The sequence below is a fragment of the Homo sapiens genome, chromosome 4, assembly GCF_000001405.40.
Source record: "Homo sapiens chromosome 4, GRCh38.p14 Primary Assembly".
Lineage (NCBI taxonomy): Eukaryota > Metazoa > Chordata > Mammalia > Primates > Hominidae > Homo > Homo sapiens.
The window spans coordinates 116,799,485-116,823,401 of NC_000004.12; the positions used below are offsets into that span (position 1 = coordinate 116,799,485).

The window sequence follows — 23,917 nt, forward strand, 5'->3', positions numbered from 1 at the left end:
TGATGTAGTAAGCAGCTCATTTTGGCTGGGCACAGTCGTTCATGCTTGTATTCCCAACACTTCAGGAGGCACAGGAGGGTGGATCGCTTGAGCTCAGGAGTTTGAGAGCAACCTGGGCAACACGGCGAAACTGCATCGCTCCAAGAAAAATAATAATAATAATAATAATAATAATAATAAAACAATAAAAATAAAAACAGCCAGACACAATGGTGCATGCCTGTAGTCTCAAGCTATTTGGAAGGCTGTGGGAGAATCAGATCTCCTGAGCCTAGCCATTTGGGGCTGCGGTGAACTGAGATTACACCACTACTGCACTCCAGCCTGTGCAGCTAGACCTTGTTTCAAAACAAAGAAACAAACAAAAAACCCTCATTTTTACACTGAGTATCACTAAATCAATGTATATCAAGACTTATATAAAATGTGAATTTTGGATGCTATTAGATTTATTTAGTTTCAGCTATTTGATATATGAAAAATAGTTTTTAAATATTTCAACATTGATGAGGTTGAAATTGTCTTATATGTATGACAGAATAAACCCCTCATCACTGTGAATATTTACAGCAATCTTCCTTTTTCCAGCTTGCCTCATTAATTCTCCCCTGTTTGCACCCACTTTTCTTTGCAGCTCCACCTTTCCTGTCACCCTGACATACCTCTGCCTGAGGACCATTTTCCAAATCTTCCAACGAGTATACTTTGTGTTAGATAAGAGTTTGAGGTATTATAACATTGTTTTAATAAGGTAAAAGACGAAGGAAATAAAGGGACTGAATTTCAGAGTTGAAAGAAAAGGGGGGAAGGCTGAACTCCAAGTGCAAAAGCAATTATGTACTATCACATCAGTAGAAAGACAAAGGGGGAATACAGTCCTGATATTAGAATATTGAAAGAAAATATTTCTGCATTTTTGTCATTTCAGACAGGGATGCAGACAAAGACAGAAGCATAGGCAGAATTACCAAGTGTGTTGAAAATAGATGGAAGGAAAAATTAAATTTTTTTTTAATGCTGCTGCAGACAAAGGGTTAGGATCATTTTCCAGATGTTCTCAAAATACAAATAAAGGCTTAGAGCATATTTTAGGTTGTTACAGTTGGTATATTTTTTTATGTTGTACATATTTTATTTTCTTGAAATCTTGAATGCAGAGGGACTAGGTCATCTCATTATTCAGCTAATGAAGCTTTATTATTATCAGTTAGTACAGGACCCCATTCATGGGGTGTATTTATATAATTATTTTAACCACAAAATAAAATATGTGTGTTTATATACTTATTTTAACCACAACACTCACTTTTGTCACAATGCAGCCAATATATTATTTGATGTGTAACTTTGACAATCCTTATGAAATATGTACTGATGTTTTATATATGCATTTTAAGTATATGAATCATATTTTTTCTCACATGATCTGTGATAATTACTATTTCCCCCAAATCCAATGCACACTGATACTTTGTAAGATGAAAATAATAATTTAAATAAGGAAGTTATAAAAATGCATATTATGAGATATACGTATGAAAATACATTTTAGTAAACACTATAAGACAAACATAGCATAAGGAAAAAAGAAGTCTAGAACTGCAGATGTTTATTGAAAGTGAAATTATGAGTGAAGTATTAACTCCCCATATTATATCCCTGTATACATACTTTGGATAGACAGCATGTATTTCAATTTCTTATTTGTTTTCCTCACTTTTCTTATTTCTCCTATCTGTTTTCTTTGTAATTTTTTTTTATTTTTAAGATGGATTTTTTTTACTTCAGTTTCTTTGCTGAGTTTGAACCCAATTCAATGCATTTCTATTTTTGTTCATTTCTGTTTTTATGTTTTAAATTTCTTATTCTGGATGTTTATATCAGCTGAAATGTTGTATTAGTCTGTTTTCATACTGTATAAATACCTGAGACTGGGTAATTTATAAAGAAGCTTAATTTACTCACGGTTCCACACGGCTTGCGAAGCCTCAGGAAACTTACAATCATGGTGGAAGGCGAAGGGGAAGCTAGCACCTTCTTCACAAGGTGGCAGGAGAGAAAAGAGCAAAGAAGGAACTTCCAAACACTTATAAAATCATCACATCTCGTGAGAACTCACTCACTCTCCTGAGAACAGCATGGGGGACACTGCCCCTGTGATCCAATCACCTCTCTCCCTCCACATGTGGGGATTCAGGTCTCTCCCTGGACACATGGGGATTACAATTTGAGGGAGATTTGGGTGAGGACACAGCGCCAAATCATATCAAATATTACAACTTATATTTTCTGATTTCTTCTTACAGTACGCTGCTATGGAGGTTTTTTGGAGGGGTTTTTCTTTGTTCGTTTGTTTGCTTTCTCTCCCTATCCCTTTGGGGGACAAATTATGATGTTTAAGAGGATCATTTTTTTTCAGTATAGCAGAGTACAATTTTTCATTGGACAGCTTTGGTGGTAGAGAAATGGTTGGATCAGCCTAGTTTCTGAGTCTTTTACATTTCTGCGGGGTCCTTAATTTTTCCCTATTTGTGCCTTCATTTCCTTCACTGCCATTTACATGATTATTCCCCATAATCAGTGCTTCCATCCAACTGCCCCTACAGTCCAGCACACTTTTAAGCACTTTTCTTGAACACTACAAGGTCACAATTATACTAATTTCAGCAATTAGTCTTGAACTTTTTTGTTTTAGACAAAAATTTTTCTGTTCTTCTCAATTTACTCTCCAAACACCCCTCCCTTTCTTTTTGTTAACGAGTGCCATAAGCCTTCTCTTTCCCTTCTGCCTTATAGGAATAGATAGTGGGAATTACCTTGGAATTTGGAGGTCTTTTCTTCACATAGGGACAATTTGAAGTTTTTGGTATTCTCTGTCTCCTAGTGAGGTTGAAGTGATAAACTATGGATGATGTTGTTTATACTATTCCTTGATTTTAATATTTTGAGGATGGATCCACGGAGACAGTTTGATTTAAGAACGAGCTATTAACTTTTAGAAATTATTTTCAATACTATGTATGTCAATATTTAAAGATCTTATTGTGATAAGTTCACTTCTTACTTGATAAAATATGCAATATAGGCTGGATTAATGGCAACATGACTCAGAAAGGATAATATATATCTAAATTATAGATCTGTTTTATTTTAATAACACCTTTAATAGAGAAAACCAAAAAGGTATATTGATGTGAATAAAAATTAGATTTTAAAGAAATGTAAGCAAGCTCATGATTTTTATATTTATTGACTATCCAAAATGAAGTATGTGATGCCATATTTTCAAAGTTAATTGGCAATCATTAATTTGTTGCTACTTCTAAAATATATTGTCTAAAGTAATAGCTAAAGTAAAAGACAATTTAACAAAATCAAGTGATATGTAGCACACATGAGAGTTAAATTTGTACTTATATGTGCATATATCATATTGAGGCTATGTACGCAAGATGATATAACAATAGCATCAAGACCTCAGGATCTGGAACCTGACTGCCTCAGTTTGACTCATGATAGTGCCATTACTTAGTTGTGTGACTTTGGACAAGTTATCAATCTCAGTTTTAACCTCAGTTTCCTCAATCATAAAATGTGGCTAATAATAGTACCTAGATCATGGAGTTATATAGGCAATAAAAAATGGATTAATACCTTTGAATCCTTCAAAAATAACTGAACTAGACTATGCAGTGAATATATATTAGCTAGTAACTTTATATATGTACTGGCATTTGTTATACTACTGATACATTACACATGACATACATTAAAGGGATTATTTCATTATATCTATTTTAAGCATTTCATACACTATATGACATACAGTATAAAAATGCAATCTATTCATTTATGACTAAATGTTTGTACATTACTGTTTTCTACATGAGCTCTTTTCTCTTGCAATTTTAAATCTTCTTGCTTACATTGTAACCCAAGTTTCTAGGTATCACTATTTTGTGACTATAAAACTTTACAAACCTGGAGAAAAACAATAGTTCCCTTCTCCATGCTGAGTCATGTTTGATATTGTGCATCACTCAGAACTTTCTTATATCTCAGTTCTTTTGTAATGAAGCGTAAGTGTGATTTAATGTATTAGAAAATATTTCTGATATATCGAATGTCTAGTAAATAATACAAGAAAAATTATTCTGCCAAGTCAAATTGCTTCCACTATTTTGAGATTTCCCTGAATACCATGTAGTCATCAACAAACATAATTACTTCATCCCAGAATTGTTTTATGCAGCGGGAACACAGCAGTGAGCAAGAGTCTCTGCTTAACTGTCAGACATCTTCACTAACCAAGCTATCTGAAATAGAATACTTTCCCAACTATTCATGAACTTTTTATTTTGTCTCATTTTCATTTATAAATATTATAACTAACAGAAAGTATAATATATATTTAAATGTTATAAATAAACAGAGCCTACAAAGCCTGTTTTATTCAATTCTTCTCAAGGTGTAAGTTGAAAAATAACATTAAATCATTTAGAACCTACTAAAATTATAACTATATATTGTTGATTGTGATGGAAAATTACTTCATTTGGGATTAGTTATACAATATTATAGAATGAAGGGTATCTTTTAGAAAGAAAAATACTTACAGATTTAATTAAAATACTAAATTAAGATAGAAGCAAAGTTATAATCATGAAATTAAATTGAAGAGACTAAATTAGAATACACTGTAATGTATTTTTGCTTCAAATTATATACTGCATATTTGATATGTAAAGGAGCATCAGGTATCACTTCATTTATAAACTGTAAAATGTAAGGACTTAATTTTTTCAAAAACAATACTTCTTTCTATATGTAATCTACTGTCTTTAAATTTCTATTATAGTTAGTGTGCCTTTTTTAGTAGTGTTTATGTTCTACTTAAGTGTTCGTGCCCAGTGTACTAAAATGTTTTACTTATCAATTGTTCTTTTTTATCACTAGTCTATAAGATGGTTTTACAATGTGGTACTAAATTGTCAAGCATATAAGCAATTTATTTTCACAGATAATATTCTTAGATCTTAGAAGATGCAAAACATCGTTTTTTTTTAATTTTTGAAAATGCAGTTTTGAGCAAAACATGCATTTAAGATCTATGTCCTAGAAGTGTGATCCTGTTATCATTATACCTCTGGATTGAGAATGTAGAAAATAATACAGGGGAAAGACTGTTTCGTTAAGAATGAAAACTTCCATTAGTTGTATGTTTCTGGAAATAAATCAGCAAACCTATTCAGCTACAGTTTCCACACCAATAAAAAACTAATGGTGCCTTACTCCATTTTGTGCTATTATAACACAATATCTGAGACCAAATAATTTATGAAGAACATAAATTTATTTTTTTCACAGTTCTGGAGGCTGGATGTCCAAGATCTAGGCACCAGTAAGATCTGTTGTCTGGCAAAGGCTACTCTCTGCTTCCAACATTATGCCTTCTTGCTATATTTTCCGGAAGACAAGAACACTGTGTCCTCATCTGGCTTCACATAGCTTCAGACACAAGAAAATCTAATGTTGCATGAGCCCTCTTTTATGAGGGACTTAATCCTATCATGAGGGAAGGAGCTCTTATGACTCAATCACCTCTTAATACCATCACAATGGTCATTAAGTTTCAACACTAGATTTTGGAGGGGACAGAGTCAAACCATACCATGGCCACTACTGATCCTCAAGTTTTACTTTTCTTTAGTAGTACAAGAAATTAGATGAATTGTGAAATTACCTTTACTTGCTTCCTGTATGTTCTGGTATTGGAGAAAATGAGTATTTTTTGCATAATTCTCTACCATTAATACATTTAACCTATGCAAGAGAATGTCCTGTATCTGAGACCAGATGAATATGCAATTAATCATTTCCTAGAAAAAAAAATTCAGGATAGATTTAAGAATGCAATACATTTTAAAACCTTAAGATTCAAAGTGGAAATTCTGAATAGAATTTCCACAAATTTAGAATAATAATTAATTTACCATAATAAAACTCATGATAATGATAAAACTACTACAACAGTTTAAAAATTATTGATACATGGTGTGAGAGGAGGGAGAGAATCAGGAAAAATAACTAATGAGTACTAGGCTTAATATCTGAGTGATGAAATAATCGTACAGCAAACCCATATGATACAAGTTTACCTATGTAACGAACCTTCACATATACCCCTGAACTTAAAATACAAGCTAATAAACAAAAAAGTAAAACAAAACAAAACAAAAGTTTACACCTTACCATTGCTCTAAGTATTGAAATGATTATTAATCCAAAAATACTTTCTACATATTATACTGTACAATTGTAATTGAAGTGCTAGTCTCTTTCTTAAAGCAATTCTATTTCTACATCTAAATATTTCAAGCATTTTCTGAGGACAAGATTTTGTGCTGCTATTTTAGATAATGACTAATCTCAATCATCAGGCATGCAGATCACAAAGACAGTTAACTTTAATGCTAAGTATAACAAAACATATTAGTATATTTATGTATGTTTTGCAGTATTGTATACCACAGTTTATCTTTTATATAAATGATAAAAGTATATTTGAGGCTTTTAATAATGAAACTTACTTGAAGATAATACTCTTTTCTTGTGCTACAATATATGGCATTTCAAATGCTTAATATGTATTTTTTTCAAGTAGCACATTTGTATTGATTAAAATAATTCAGTTTCTAGGCTAATGTACCAGTTATAGAAGGGAGAACTTTAAATTGTAAAGTGTCAGTCATCTCATACCTTTTAGAAATGGCATGTTAAATAACATCTCTTAGTGCATTATGAGATAGCAGCTTCTAAAATGGACTGCACAAATCCCAGAAATGTAGAAATCGGATTAACATTACATGTAATGCTGAATAATATTCCTATTAAACCTTGACATCTTTTGTTTATATTCATATCGTTTACTTTTTCTAACTCGTGGTTAGTCAGAGACCCCATACCTTTTTAGACAATGCCTTTAATAATTTTTATGGAGTAAATGCAATGTGAGCCCAATTGCTGTTTGAAACTCATGACTGTTCTTATTGGATTGTACTTACATTCACAGTGCCATGTTCCAAGACTAGCTGGCTATTACACTTCCTCATTTCTGCATTGTAATAATAAAGTAATTTAAATCCGTTTATTTATTTTGTATTCATAAGTACTCAAACCTGGAAGCAGAAAAACAAAAGACATTGGAAATGTAAAATTAATAAAAATCAAACATTTTGCAATCTTTGTTATTTATCCATAATCTTAGCATTGTGGCTATTATAACTAAATTCTACCAGTAAAACTATCCCTATTTCTGAAAGTTGGTGCTAATTCAAAAACCACTTTCTAAGATTAGATTATATACACACATATTTGAAACATAATAAAAATGTTTAAATAATGAGAAGATAAAAACAAGCATTAGAGCTATTGCATATTTAAGGCAATATAGAAAGTAAGTGAAACAGAAATAACAGATGTATATCTAATATGATAAAGTCTGTGAAAACACAAAAGGACTTAAGCCCCTTTGGTTATCATATAAATACTGAAATCTGGGATAGGTTATGTAGGAAGAAAATAATTATTAAAATCTAAATAATAATTTTATATATAAAAGCCTATATCTTTATGACTGATAGACATTTATCTCTATGCAGAGAAGCAACTATTACTTTACAAATGGTTGTGTTTCAAACTCCCATTTATAAGTCACCTGTTAGTATCTCTGTAATTTTCCATTGAAATTCTTGCTTGGCTTGTTACTTGCCAGTTCTTCTCTCCGCCAAAAAAAATAAATAAATAAAAAACAAAAAAGCTTATTTAATAATTGAACAGAATTATTGTTCATTTTTAAAATAAAATTCAGAAAATCCAACGTTTCAAATGTATATTACTTTAGCACTATTAATTAAATAGTATTTGTAATTCATCTTATCCAAAATGAGAAATCTTAATGCTATTCTCCTCCTTTCATTTTCTAAACCTAAGGAGACTTCAGAAAACTTCTCAGAGCACTCAGAAGACTTCAGAAATAAACAATAATAATCTATGGATAATCAACTTTGTTATCCTGTTGATGCTCTTATTAGATATTTAAATAAATCTTTAATACATGAATATCATAATATTGTATGACATTCATGTTTTTAAATTTTAAAAAATGTTTAACTCAAAAAAATTTGAGTTTTAGGTATATACTATCATATCTAAGTGGACCATCTTCCAGAGTCAATCAAATCACATTTCCTGAGAAACACATCCCATGAGCTGCTTATGTCCTGGCATCCTTTTATTCTGTATATGCTATCATATTCATCTATTACTTAACAATGGTTAAAACTATAAACAATATAAGCCAACTGGTTTTTAAACTGAGGGATATTCATAATATTCAGAGACTACAAAACTGTTGTATAACAATGTTTAATACAATTCGTACATTTATGTTCTATTGCTACATTAACAAATTGCCTCAAGGTTGATACCTTAAACACTACAAATTGATATCCTTTTTTATTATACTATAAGTTTTAGGGTACATGTGCAGAACATGCAGGTTTGTTACATATGTCTACATGTGCCATGTTGGTGTGCTGCACCCATTAACTCGTCATTTACATTAGATATATCTCCTAATGCTATCCCTCCCCCCTCCCCCCACCCCACAACAGTCCCCAGAGTGTGATGTTCCCCTTCCTGTGTCCATGTGTTCTCATTGTTCAGTTGCCACCTATGAGTGAGGACATGCGGTGTTTGGTTTTTTGTCCTTGCGATAGTTTGCTGAGAATGATGGTTTCCAGCTTCATCCATGTCCCTACAAAGGACAGGAAGTCATCATTTTTTATGGCTGCATAGTATTCCATGGTGTATATGTGCCACATTTTCTTAATCCAGTCTATCATTGTTGGACATTTGGGTTGGTTCCAAGTCTCTCCTATCGTGACTAGTGCCTCAATAAACATATTTGTGCATATGTCTTTATAGCAGCATGTTTTATAATCCTTTGGGTATATACCCAGTAATGGGATGGCTGGGTCAAATGGTATTTCTAGTTCTAGATCCCTGAGGAATCGCCACACTGACTTCCACAATGGTTGAACTAGTTTACAGTCCCACCAACAGTGTAAAAGTGTTCCTATTTCTCCACATCGTCTCCAGCACCTGTTGTTTCCTGACTTTTCAATGATCACCATTCTAACTGGTGTGAGATGGTATCTCATTGTGGTTTTGATTTGCATTTCTCTGATGGCCAGTGATGATGAGCATTTTTTCATGTGTCTTTTGGCTGCATAAATGTCTTCTTTTGAGAAGTGTCTGTTCATATCCTTCACCCACTTGTTGATGGGGCTGTTTGTTTTTTTCTTATAAATTTGTTTGAGTTCATTGTAGATTCTGGATATTAGCCCTTTGTCAAATGAGTAGATTGCAAAAATTTTCTCCCATTCTGTAGGTTGCCTGTTCACTCTGACGGTAGTTTCTTTTGCTGTGCGGAAGCTCTTTAGTTTAATTAGATCCCATTTGTCAATTTTGGCTTTTGTTGCCACTGCTTTTGGTGTTTTAGACATGAAGTCCTTGCCCATGCCTATGTCCTGAATGGTATTGCCTAGGTTTTCTTCTAGGGTTTTTATGGTTTTAGGTCTAGCATGTAAGTCTTTAATCCATCTTGAATTAATTTTTGTATAAGGTGTAAGGAAGGGATCCAGTTTCAGCTTTCTATATATGGCTAGTCAGTTTTCCCAACACCATTTATTAAATAGGGAATCCTTTCCCCATTGCTTGTTTTTCTCAGGTTTGTCAAAGATCAGATACTTGCAGATATGTGGCATTATTTCTGAGGACTCTGTTCTGTTCCATTGGTCTATATCTCTGTTTTGGTACCAGTACCATGCTGTTTTGGTTACTGTAGCCTTGTAGTATAGTTGGAAGTCAGGTAGCATGATGCCTCCAGCTTTGTTCTTTTGGCTTAGGATTGACTTGGCAATGCAGGCTCTTTTTTGGTTCCATATGAACTTTAAAGTAGTTTTTTCCAATTCTGTGAAGAAAGTCATTTGTAGCTTGATGGGGACGGCACTGAATCTATAAATTACCTTGGGCAGTATGGCCATTTTCATGATATTGATTTTTTCCTACCCATGAGCATGGAATGTTCTTCCATTTGTTTGTATCCTCTTTTATTTCACTGAGCAGTGGTTTGTAGTTCTCCTTGCAGAGGTCCTTCACATCCCTTGTAAGTTGGATTCCTAGGTATTTTATTCTCTGTGAAGCAATTGTGAATGGGAGTTCACTCATGATTTGGCTCTCTGTTTTTCTATTATTGGTGTATAAGAATGCTTGTGATTTTTGCACATTGATTTTGTATCCTGAGACTTTGCTGAAGTAGCCTATCAGCTTAAGGAGATTTTGGGCTGAGACGATGGGGTTTTCTAGATATACAATCATGTCATCTGCAAACAGGGACAATTTGACTTCCTCTTTTCCTAATTGAATTCCCTTTATTTCCTTCTCCTGCCTGATTGCCCTGGCCAGGCAGATCTATAGATAAAGAAGTCCAACATGGGTCTCACTGTATTAAAATTAAGGTATTTCCAGGCCTGTATTTCTTTCTGGGGGAGAATCCATTTCATTGTCTCTCTCAGTTTTCTGAAGCTGCCCCTATTCCTAAACTTATGTTCCCTTGCTCCATTGTCGAAGTCAGCAATGTAGCATCTTTATGACCATTCTTTTATACTCAAATTTCCCTTGGATTGCAGCCAGGAAAAGTTTTATCCTTTTATGATTTAGGTAATTAGACTGGGTCCAATAGGAAAATTCAGAATAAATACTCCATCTCAAGGTCCTTAATCCTAATCACATCTGCCATGTAAAGCAACATATTTACAGGTTACTGGATTGGGGAGTAGACATCTTTGAAAGGCCATTTTGCTTACCACAGTTAGATTTACTCACAGTATATTAATTGATGAAAAATATTCAGCTAAAAAAAGAGTACCAGTAAGATAAAAATGGCAAATAGAATACTTGTAAAAACTAAAGGAATTTATTCATTAAAAAATGAAAGGGACTACTATGTTTTAGGTTATGTTGTTATGAAGATGACAACAGTGAATAAATAGACTCTCCCCTTATGAAGCATAATTTAGTTGAGCAGAGTGAATGTGAAACATAAATTGTATAAATGCAAACTGCGATTACAAGCAGTGAAAAGTGCTGTAAATAAATATACAGCTGCATAAGGGCATGGAGGGTGCTGTATCTCAGGAGGCCCCAGTTAAAACAAGGTACTTAGAAAAGAGCTCTACAAAAATTGAAATCGAGAGAGAAAACCAAATAAAGTCATTAGATGAACCTTGAGAAGATCTTAATAAAATTATTCTGCAAGAGATATTAAGATGTTGCTAAGATTTTAAAAGAAAGAAAAAACAGCGTGTGTTTAAGGAAGTACAAAAATAGCAGTTTGTCTGAAGCAGGGTGAGCACAGGGAAGAAGTCAATTTTGGACATGTTAAATTTGAGATGAGTATTATAAATGCAAATCAAAGTGTCAGAATTAGATATAACTGGTTTAGACTTTAAGAGAGAGTCAGGGCTAGAGTTGGAGACAGTCCCCAGCAAATGGTTGATAGTTCACACTCTGGTCTGGGACTTAGTGTGGAAGAGCCAAAACTGGATGCTCAGATGGTGGGGCCAGTAAGATAAAAGAAGAAACAGGAGAGTGTCATGTCCACGAAATCACCTAAAGTAGTGGTTCAAGAAGGGGGTGATCAGTTATATTCACATAGGTGATTAACCAAGAACTGTTTTTAAAACAGGAGATCCTAAAAATAGATATGAATACACCTTAAACATTTTAATTTAACTTAAATATTCATTTATGAGTCCATTGTTTGATGTGGTGGACAACGATTTTTTATTCCAGGGTGGATTCATTAATAGATGTAATGTATTAATGGAGAATATTTCATGATTTTTAAAAACACCTATCCTGTCATTTTTGATTGTCTTGTTCACACTTAATAATATACATGTTCAAATAATTTTTACAAAACATTTCATTTATTACAGAAACACTCATTTCCTATTTAAAGTCATGTTTCAGAAGTTTATGTGATTTTTACTTAATTATAAACTACAATCATAAATATAGCTGGCACAGAATGTGTGGAAATAAATATAACATAATACTTGGTGAAAACAAAACTGTCAGAATATTAGAATATTAAAGTGTAGAATGATAAAAACACATATTCAGCAATTTGTGATAGTTTGTTTTACATAAAGAATGGAGAGTATCAGTTTGTGAAATGAGTAGGGTAAGTGGAGGGTAAAAGAAATTCTAATCCATACCACATTTTTAATGTTAAATTAATATGACAGATATTACAGAGTGCTTTACAAACATTATGCCTGATCATCACCTAAAACTTGTGAGGTCAGTCAGGTTGTAAATAAGAAAACTGCTGAACAGACAGATTAAGTATATTGCTAAAGTCAAACAGTTAGTGATATAGCCCAGGGGTTCCCAAACTCTGGGCCAGGGGCTGGGGGCTGGTGCTGGTCCCTGGCCTGTTAGGAAATGGGCTGCACAGCAAGAAGTGAGTGGCCGGTGGCAGGGGGTTGGGGTAGGGGGCGGTTAGGAGCTTTTTCTGTATTTACAGCAACTCACCATGGCTCATATTACCACCTGAGTTCTCCCACCTGTCACATCAGCAGCAGCATTCGGTTCTTATAGGAGCCGGAACCCTATTGTGAACTGCACATGCAAGGGATCTAGTTTGCGGTTTTCTTATGAGAATCTAATGCCTGAGGATCTGCCACTGTCTCCCATCGTCTCCAAATGAGACTGTCTAGTTGCAGGAAAACAAGCTCAGGGTTCCCACTGATTCTACATTATGGTGAGTTGTATAAGTATTTCATTATATATTATAATGTAATAATAATAGAAATAAAGTGCACAATAAATGTAATGTGCTTGAATCATCTGAACACCATCCCCTACCCCAGTCCTAGGAAAAATTGTCTTCCACAAAACCAGTCCCTGGTGCCAAAAAGGTTGGGGAATGCTGATATAGCTGATACTTGAAAACAGAATGGTAGAACCCAAAAGTCCATGTTTGGGTTTTTTGCTATTAAATTTCTTCCATAAAATATAAACTGTAAACTGTGCTTTTACTTGAAATATTCTTAAAGTTATTTATAATTTTAACATCATATTTCGAATCAAGTATAAACATTGTTTAACAAATATTATTTACTAAAAGTAAATAGATAGTTCAATGTTCCATAGACAATGAAGAAGGTTTTAGCATACATATTGAGATTTTTACCTAATCTATTTCTACTGAATTATTTTCAGAGAGATGAAAATTTATAATTTACATTTATAAGCATGTAATCCAATGATTTTTCCTCCTTTTAAGCAGACTATTGTTAAGAGTAGGTTTAAGTTGACAGCAAAATTGAGCAGAAAGTACAGAGAGTTCCCAAGTACGCTTTGCCTCAACATGAATACGGCTTCCCTCACTATCAGCATCTCACACTGGAGTGCAATACCTGTTACAATTCATAAACCTAAATGTACAAATCATTATCACCCAGAGTCCATAGTTAGCATTAGGATTCATCCTTGAAGTTATACGTTGTGGATGGGTTTTGACAAATGTGTAATGACATGTGTTCCACCATGATAGTATCATACAGAATAGTTTCAGTACCTTAAAAATTCTTTGTGCTTTACCTATTCATCCTTGTCTCCCCATTTACCCATGGCATAAACTGATCTTTTTAATATCTTCATAATTTTGCCTATTCTGGAATGTCATATAATTAGAATCATATAATGTGTAGACTTTTCAGATTGGCTTCTTTCACTCAATGATAAGTATGAAAATTTCCTTTACATCTATTCCTGGCTTGATAGATCACTTATTTTCAGCACTGAATAATGTTCCCTTTGTCTGCATTTACCACAGTCTGTCCATTCATTCACATACTAAAGATGTTGGCTGATTTCATGGCTTGGAAATTATGAATGAAACTGGCATAAATATTCTGGTGCAGGTTTTTGTATGGACATGGGTTTCAACTCCTTTAGGTAAATATCAAGAAGGGTATTTGTTGGATCGTATAGTAAGAGTATGTTTACTTTGAATGAAACTGCCAAACTGTCTTCCAAAGTGACTGTTATCATTTTACATTCCACCAGCAGTGAATGAGAGTCCTTGTTCTTTCATATTCTCCCCAGAATTTGGTGTTATCAGTGCTTTAGATCTGGCTCATTCTTATAAGTATATAATATATCTTATTATTGTTTTAATTTTAATTTCTCAAATGCAATACAATACGAAGGATACTAAAGTTAAAGGGAAAAAACAGCTTCAAAAAAGGGTGTATGTGAGGCTGTAAGAATAATATATTTTCAAAATAGAATTAAAATAAATCAATAATTAAGGTAAAATTAAAACTCATGAACATAGATACATTTTTTCTTATTTTTCTTTTAAAAGAAGAAACTCAAGCCATGTCACTTTATGCAACCATGTGAGGTATCTTTACATATTTTTGCCCCTATTTTTTCTATAGCACTGTATTAGTTTCATAAGACTAAAACAACAAACTGCCACAAACCAAGTTGTTTAAGGTTGCTTAAAACAACATAGCTTTATCCTCTCATTTATTCAGAAGCATAGACATCTAAAATCAAGATGTCAGCTGGATCATCTCTCTCTGAAGGCTCTAGGGACGAATTCTTCCTTGATCTTTAAAGCTTCTGGTGATTGCCAGCATTATTTGGAGTTCCTTGATTTGCAGCTGTGTTAGTCCAATTTCTGCCTCTGTCTTTACGCAGCTGTTTTCCCTGTTTCTGTGTCCCGGTGTCTTAACATGTATTTCTTATAAGGTCCCCAGTAATTGGATTTAGAGGTCAGTCTAATCCTATATGACCCCATCTCAACTTGATTACATTTGTAAAAATCCTATTTTCAAATAAGGTCACATTCCCAGATAAGGGAGGATTAGGTCTCCTATATATGCCTTTGGAGGGCACAATTTAGCCCACACAGGCACTGTTCTCCATTAATAAAAACAAGCAAAAGTGAAAAGCCTGGAAAATCTTTTTGTCTTTAAAATGCAAGGATTTTTTTAAAGAAATCTTTAAATAATATCTCAAAGGAGAGGAAAGTCAACAATTGCAAAATAAATATACCATTGACAAAGTAGTAATTATTTCAGTGAAAAAAGAATTGTTATCAATTAAAAGGAAAAAGCATTGCTATCAAAGAAAGAGCATTGCTATCAGGTAAAATATTTAAAACTTGTTTTTAAGATTGCTGACAAGATGGCTGAATAGGAACATAGGAACAGCTCCGGTCTGCAGTTCCCAGTGAGATAGACGCAGAAGGAGGGTGATTTCTGCATTTCCAACTGATGTACCCAGTTCATGTCACTGGGACTGGTTGGACAGTGGATGCAGCCCACGGAGGGTGATCCGAAGCAGGGTGGGGCATCACCTCACCTGGGAAGTGCAAGGGGACGTGGCATATTCTGCTGTACCCAAGGGAAGCTGTGAGGGAATGAGCCTGAGGAACTCTGGCAGAGATACTGCACTTGTCCGGTGGCCTTCACAACCCACAAAAACCAGGAGATTCCCTCCTACGCCTACCACACCAGGGCCCTGGGATTCAAGCACAAAAATGGGCGGCCATTTGGGCAGACACCCAACTAGCTGCATACCCCAGTGGCACCTAGAACACAAGTGAGACAGAACCATTCACTCCCCTCGAAAGGGGGCTGAAGCCAGGGAGCCAAGTGGTCTGGCTCAGTGGGTCCCACCCTCAAGGAGCCCAGCAAACTAAGATCCACTGGCTTGAAATTCTAGCTGTCCTCACAGCAGCAGTCTGAGATCAACCTGTGACTCTCGAGCTTGGTGCGGGGAGGGGTGTCTGCCATTACTGAGGATTGAGTCAGTAGTTTTATGCTCACAGTGTGGAAAAAACCGCTGGGAAGTTCGAACTGGGCAGAGCCCACTGCAGCTCAGCAAGGCTGCGGTGGTCAGACTCCAGGATTTCTCTTCACTGGGCAGGGCATCTCTGAAAAAAAGGCAGCAGCCTCAGTCAGGGACTTATAGATAAAACCCCCATCTCTCTGGGACAGAGCACCTGGGGAAAGGCACTGCTGTGGGCGCAGCTTCAGCAGACTTAATCATTCCTGCCTGACAGCTCTGAAGACAGCAGCGGACCTCCCAGCACAGCGTTCGAGCTATGCTAAGGGTCAGACTGCCTCCTCAAGTGGGTCCCTGAATCCCATGTATCCTGACTGGAAGACACCTCCTGGTAGGGGTCAACAGACACCTCATACCAGAGAGCTCTGGCTGACATCTGGTAGATGCCCCTCTGGGACAAACTTTCCAGATGAAAGATCAGGCAGCAATCTTTGCTATTCTGCAGCCTCCGCTGGTGATACCCAGGCAAACAGGGTCAGGAGTGGACCTCCAGCAAACTCCAGCAGACCAGCAGAAGAGGGGACTGACTGTCAGAAGGAAAACTAACAAACAGAAGGAAATAGCATTTCCACTCAAAGACCCCATCTGAAGGTCACCAACATCAAAGACCAAAGGTAGATAAATCCACAAAGATGGGAAGAAAACAGTGCAAAAAGGCTGATAATTCCAAAACCCAGAACACCTCTTCTCTTCCAAAGGATCACAACTCCTCGCCAGTAAGAGAACAAAACTGGATGGAGAATGAGTTTGATGAATTGACAGAAGTAGGCTTCAGAAAATGGGTAATAACAAACTCCTGTGAGCTAAAGGAGCATGTTCTAACCCAATGCAAGGAAGCTAAGAACCTTGAAAATAGGTTAGACGAATTGCTAACTAGAATAACCAGTGTAGAGAAGAACATAAGTGACCTGATGGAGCTGGAAAACACGCACCAGAACTTCGTGAAGCATTCACAAGTTTTAATAGCTGAATCGACAGTGATTGAAGGTCAACATAATGAAATAAAGCGAGAAGACAAGATTAGAGAAAAAAGAATAAAAAGGAACAAATAAAGCCTCCAGGAAATATGGGATTATGTGAAAAGACCAAATCTATGTTTGATTAGTATACCTGAAAGTGACAAAGAGAATTGAACCAAGTTGGAAAACACTCTTCAGAATATTATCCAGGAGAACTTTTCCAACCTAGCAAGACAGGCCAACATTCAAATTCAGGAAATACAGAAAAGACCACAAAGATACCCCTCGAGAAGAGCAACCCCAAGGCACATAATCGTCAGATTCACCAAGGTTAAAATGAAGGAAAAAATATTAAGGGCAGCCAGGGAGAAAGGTTGGGTTATCCAGAAAGGGAAGCCCATCAGACTACCAGTGGATCTCTCTGCACAAACTCTACAAGCCAGAAGAGAGTGGGAGCCAATATTCAACATTCTTAAAGAAATAATTTTTAACCCAGAATTTCATATCCAGCCAAGCTAAGCTTCATAAGTGAAGGAGAAATAAAATCCTTTACAGACAAGCAAATGCTGAGAGATTTTGTCACCACCAGGCCTGCCTTACAAGAGCTCCTGAAGGAAGCATTAAACATGGAAAGGAACAACTGGTACCAGCCACTGCAAAAACATACCAAATTATAAAGAATATGGACACTATAAAGAAACTGCATCAACTAATGGGCAAAACAACCAGCTAGCATCATAATGACAAGATCAAATTCACACATAACAATATTAACCTTAAATGTAAATGGGCTAAATGCCCCAAATAAGAGACACAGACTGGCAAATTGGAAAAAGAGTCAATACCCATTAGTGTGCTGTATTCAGGAGACCCATCTCATATGCAAAGACACACATAGGCTCAAAATAAATGGATGGAGAAATATTTACCAAGCAAATGGAAAGGAAAAAAAAAAACAGGAGTTACAATCCTAACCTCTGATGAAACAGACTTTAACCAACAAAGGTCAAAAGAGACAATGAAGGGCATTACATAATGGTAAAGGGATTAATGCAGCAAGAAGATCTAACTATCCTAAATATATATGTACCTAATGCAGGAGCACACAGATCTATCTATAAAGCAAGTTCTTAGAGACCTCCAAAGAGACTTAGACTCCCATACAGTAATAGTGGGACACTTTAACACCCCACTGTCAATATTAGATCAACAAGACAGAAAATTAACAAGGATAATCAGGACTTGAACTCAGCTCTGGACCAAGCCGACCTAATAGACATCTACAGAACTCTCCACCCCAAATCAACAGAATATACATTCTTCTCAGGACCTCATCACATTTACTCTAAAATTGACCACATAATTGTAAGTAAAACACTCCTCAGCAAATGCAAAAGAATGGAAATCATAACAGTCTCTCAGACCACAGTGCAATCAAATTAGAACTCAGGATTAAGAAACACTCAAACCCACATGACTACATGGAAACTGAACAACCTTCTCCTGAATGACTACTGGGTAAATAAAAAAATGAAGGCTGAGATAAAAATGTTCTATGCAACCAGTGAGAATGAAGACACAACATACCAGAATCTCTGGGACACATACAAAGCAGTGTGTAGAGGGAAATTTATAGCACTAAATGCTCACAAGAGGAAGCGGGAAAGATCTAAAATTGACACCCTGACATCAAAATTAAAAGAACTAGAGAAGCAACAGCAAATAAATTCAAAATCTAGCAGAAAACAAGAACTAAGATCAGAACAGAACTGGAGGAGATAGAGACAAGAAAGACCCTTCAAAAATTAATGAATCCAGGAGCTTGTTTCTGAAAAGATCAACAAAATAGACTGCTAGCCAGACTAATAAAGAAGAAAAGAGAGAATAATCAAATAGATGCAACAAAAAATGATATAGGAGATATCACCATGGATCCCACAGAAATACAAATTACCATCAGAGAATACAACAAACACCTCCATGCAAATAAACTTGAAAATCTAGAAGAAATGGATAAAGTCCTGGACACATATACCCTCCCAAGTCTAAACCAGGAAGAAGGCAAATACCTGAATAAACCAATAAGAAGTTCTGAAATTGAGGCAATAATTAATAGCCTACCAACAAAAAGAAGTCCAGGACCAGATGGACTCACAGCTGAATTCTACCAGAGGTACAAAGAGGAGCTGGTATCATTTCTTCTGAAGTTATTCCAAGTAATAGAAAAAGAGAGAATCCTCCCTAACTCATTTTATGAGGCCAGCATCATCCTGATTCCAAAACCTGTCAGAGACACAACAAAAAATGAAAATTTCAGGCCAATATCCCTGATGAACATCAACGTGAAAATCCTCAATAAAATACTGGCAAACAAAATCCAAACCAAAAACATCAAAAAGCTTATCCACCATGATCAAGTTGGCTTCATCCCTGGGATGCAAGGTTGGCTCAATTTATGCAAATCAATAAGGGTAATCCATCACATAAAAAGAACCAATGAAAAAAAAAACACATGATTATCTCAATAGATGCAGCAAAGGTTTTTGACAAAATTCAACACCCCTTCATGCTAAATACTGTCAATAAACTAGATATCGATGGAATGTATCTCAAAATAATAAGAGCTATTTATGACAAACCCACAGCCAATATCATACTGAAAGGGCAAAAACTGGAAGCATTCACTTTGAAAACTGGCACAAGACAAGGATGTCCTCTCTCACCACTCCTATTCAACATAGTATTGGAATTTCTGGCCAGGGCAATCAGTCAAGAGAAAGAAATAAAGGATATTCAAATGGGAAAAGAGGAAGTCATTTTTCTCTGTTTGCAGATGACATGATTGTATATTTAGAAAACCCCATTGTCTCAGCCCAAAACCTCCTTAAGCTGATAAGCAACTTCAGCAAAGTCTCAGGATACAAAATCAATGTGTAAAAATCACAAGCATTCCTACAGAGCAATAACAGACAAACAGAGAGCCAAATCATGAGTGAACTCCCATTCACAATTGCTTCAAAGAGAATAAAATACTTAGGAATCCAACTTATAAGGGACATGAAGGACCTCTTCAAGGAGAACTACAAATCACTGCTCAAGGAAATAAGAGAGGACACAAAAAAATAGAAAAACATTCCATGCTCATGGATAGGAAGAATCAATATCGTGAAAATGGCCATAATGCTGTAAGTAATTGATAGATTGAATACTATCCCCATCAAGCTACCATTGACTTTCTTCACGGAATTGGAAAAAAACTACTTTAAACTTCCTATGGAAACAAAAAAGAGCCCACATAGCCAAGACAGTCCTGGGCAAGAAAAACAAATCTGGAGGCATCACGCAACCTAACTTCAAACTATACTACAAGGCTATAGTAACTGAAACATCAGGGTACTGGTACCAAAATAGATATATAGACCAATGGAACAGAACAGAGGCCCCCGAAATAACAACACACATCTATAACCATCTGATCTTTGACAAACCTGACACAAATAAGCAATGGGGAAAAGATTCCCTATTTATTAAATGGTGTTAGGAAAACTGGCTACCATATGCAGAAAACTGAAACTGGACCCTTTTTTACACCTTATATAAAAATTAACTCAAAATGGATTAAAGACTTAAATGTAAGACCTAGGACCATAAAAATCCTAGAAGAAAACCTTGGCAATACCATTCAGGACATAGGCATGGGCAAAAACTTCATGACTAAAACACAAAAAGCAATGGCAACAAAAGCCAAAATTGACAATGGAATCTAATTAAATGAAAGAGCTTCTGCACAGCAAAAGAAACGATCAGCAGAGTGAACAGACAACCTACAGAATGGGGGAAAACTTTTGCAATCTATCCATCTGACAAAGGGCTAATATTCAGAATCTACAAAGAACTTAAACAAATTTACAAGAAAAAAACCAACGTCCGCATCAAAAAGTGGGCAAAGGATGTGAACAGCTACTTCTCAAAAGAAGACATTTATGCAGCCAACAGACATACGAAAAAATGTTCATCATCACTGGTCGTTAGAGAAATGCAAATCAAAACCACAATGAGATACCATCTCACACCAGTTAAAATGGCAATCATTAAAAAGTCAGGAAACAACAGATGCTGGAGAGGATGTGGAGAAATAGGAATGATTTTACACTGTTGGTGGGAGTATAAATTAGCTCAACTATTGTGGAAGACAGTGTGGTGATTCCTCAAGGATCTAGAACTAGAAATTCCATTTGACCCCGCAATCCTATTACTGGGTATGTACTCAAAGAATCATAAATCATTCTACTATAAAGACACATGCACACATATGTTTATTATGGCACTATTCACAATAGCAAAGAGTTGGAACCAACCCAAATGTCCATCAATAATAGACTGGATAAAGAAAATGTGACACATACACAACATGGACTACTATGCAGCCATAAAAGAGGATGAGTTCATGTCCTTTGCAGGAATATGGATGAAGCTGGAAAACATCATTCTCAGCAAACTATCACAAGAACAGAAAACCAAACAGCACATGTTCTCACTCATAAGTGGGAGTTGAACAATGAGAACACGTGGTCATCAGGAGGGGAACATCACACACCAGAGCCTGTCGGGGATTTAGTGGGTAGGAGAAGGTTAACATTAGGAGAAATACCTAATATAGATGATAGGTTGATGGGTGCAGCGAACCACCATGCCACATGTATACCTATGTAACAAAACTGCACCTTCTGCACATGTACCCCAGAACTTAAAGTATTAAAAAAAAAAAACTTGTTTTAAAAATTATGAGTCCTGGCCAGGCGTGGTGGCTCATGTCTGTAATCCTAGCACTTTGGGAGGCCGAGGTGGGCAGATCACGAGGTCAGGAGATCGAGACCATCCTGGCTAACAGGGTGAAACCCCATCTCTACTAAAAATTCAAAAAAAAAAAATTAGCCAGGCATGGTGGCGGGCGCCTGTAGTCCCAGCTACTCGGGAGGCTGAGGCAGGAGAATGGCGTGAACCCGGGAGGCGGAGCTTGCAGTGAGCAGAGATCTCGCCACTGCACTTCAGCCTGGGCGACAGAGTGAGACTCTGTCTCAAAAAAAAAAAAAAGTTATGAGTCCTTAAAAATGTGACAAACTATAGAATAATATACGACATTCTGATATGTAAGGTACACTTCCAATAACGTATATTATTACATGCCCCATATTAGATGAGCCTTAAACTTAATTTTTAATCTCTCACCAGGATATAAAATATGGAGATTGCCATATTTCATTAGGAAAATAAATATTGTAAAATAAGAAAACCTATCAAACCAATAAAAAGAGCAAAATATGTAATGAGAAAAATCCAGTGAAACTGAATGAGCTAGAATACCACACAGAGGTAGGGATGACATTACTTGCGTAAGACTGGTTGAGAAGAGTCATTACCAGAAGATCACAAATAATATGATTCCCTGCTCACAAATTTCAAAACAAATTTAAAAAACTCAAGAATATATTATGTAGGGTTACAAATATGCATAGTAAATTTTCAATAATCAATGAATTATTAATATAAACTTGAGGATAATCTTTAATTTGACACTAAAATAAGGATGTTAGATTGAGAAGGGAAATATAACAAAATGGGTATCATTGGAAATATACTGGATTTTGTACTACAGTGGTGGTTATTATGTTATCAAATAAATATTAGGTTGGTGAAAAAGTAATTGTTTTGCACCAACCTAATAATTAGATGTAATCATTACAGTGTTAGATAAAATAATAATAATAGTGAAATATTATTAATCAGTTATGTAGTATGACAAAAGATGAATATTGTAGTTTATTCTTATCCTGAAGTCTACAAACATATTAAAAATAAATGTCAGAACAGTTTGGTGCTGGTGATGAAACAGATAGACTATCATAATTCATACAAACACATAGAGGCAGAATCATGCTTATGGGAACAATATTCTTGATATATAATATATATATACAAATTTATGGATTTTCATAATTCCATATGAAAAGAATAGATAACTTAATAGAAGAAAATTTTAGAAAAAAACTTGTTAGTTTTATGTGAGGATTGTAGCTCAAGCAAAGACATAGGTCAACAAATTAATGTCATTCAGTAAGAATATATATGTATATAGGAAAATGACATTCTAGAGGAATGTATTTATAGGCAAAACCTGTCTGTCTTGGGCAATACATGCCTGGCTCATACAATTCCATCAACAAACATTTTTATAGATGACAGATATATAGATAATATAGAAAACGAACTGTCACATAAACAGAAAATTTTCAGCAAAGAAAACTCAAAAGACTAACGAATAGGTGTGTAGACAGTCAACCCAGTTGTAATTAGAAAAATAAAAAGAAACTATAGAGTTATAATTCCATGCACATAAGATTTACGAACGTTAGGAAAATGATGAATGCATGTTTTGGAAAGGGTGTGGAGTGCATGAAAACTCATGCTGGTCGTAATGCAGGCCAATACAACTGACCTGGAAGGTAGAGCTAATGGAATATACTGTTACTATTATTATTTTGACCAAATTGCTATCTGATAGATCAATTAAGACTAAAAAATATATACTTGAATTTATTTTCCTTTTGTTTCTCTAATATTATTTAATTTTTATGTAGATCTTATTTTCTGACTCATCAATATTTTTTTCTTTGTGAAGAACTTCTTTAATATTACTTTCAAGGCATGTCTACTGGAAACAAATATTTAAACATGAAATTACAGATCTCCATATTCCACCTTTTTTATATGAAACAGATAAGCTTGGCTTTAACTTAAAGTCTTTAACAACATTTTGTTATAATATTAAGATATTATTTTAAGTCAAGTGTAAATACAATTTAACAAATATTAAAGCATGTATTAATATGTATTAACTTAGATGTAATAATCCTTAATGGATCATATCTAAATAGTGAAAAGTTCCCTATGTAATAAAG

The 23,917-nt window shown here is 35.1% G+C and overlaps 1 long non-coding RNA gene across 4 annotated transcripts in view; it reads right to left on the reverse strand.

Moving 5' to 3' along the window:
* LOC107986306 (uncharacterized) overlaps positions 1-23,917 on the reverse strand; it is a 201,750-nt gene that overhangs the window by 48,535 nt on the left and 129,298 nt on the right. For all 4 annotated transcript variants that reach the window (XR_001741797.2, XR_001741800.2, XR_001741798.2 and 1 more), the window contains 3 exons: positions 7,718-7,776; positions 7,065-7,178; positions 5,744-5,879 (listed from right to left, as the gene is read on the reverse strand). This is a non-coding gene — a long non-coding RNA (uncharacterized LOC107986306). The remainder of the gene's footprint in view (positions 1-5,743; positions 5,880-7,064; positions 7,179-7,717; positions 7,777-23,917) is intronic.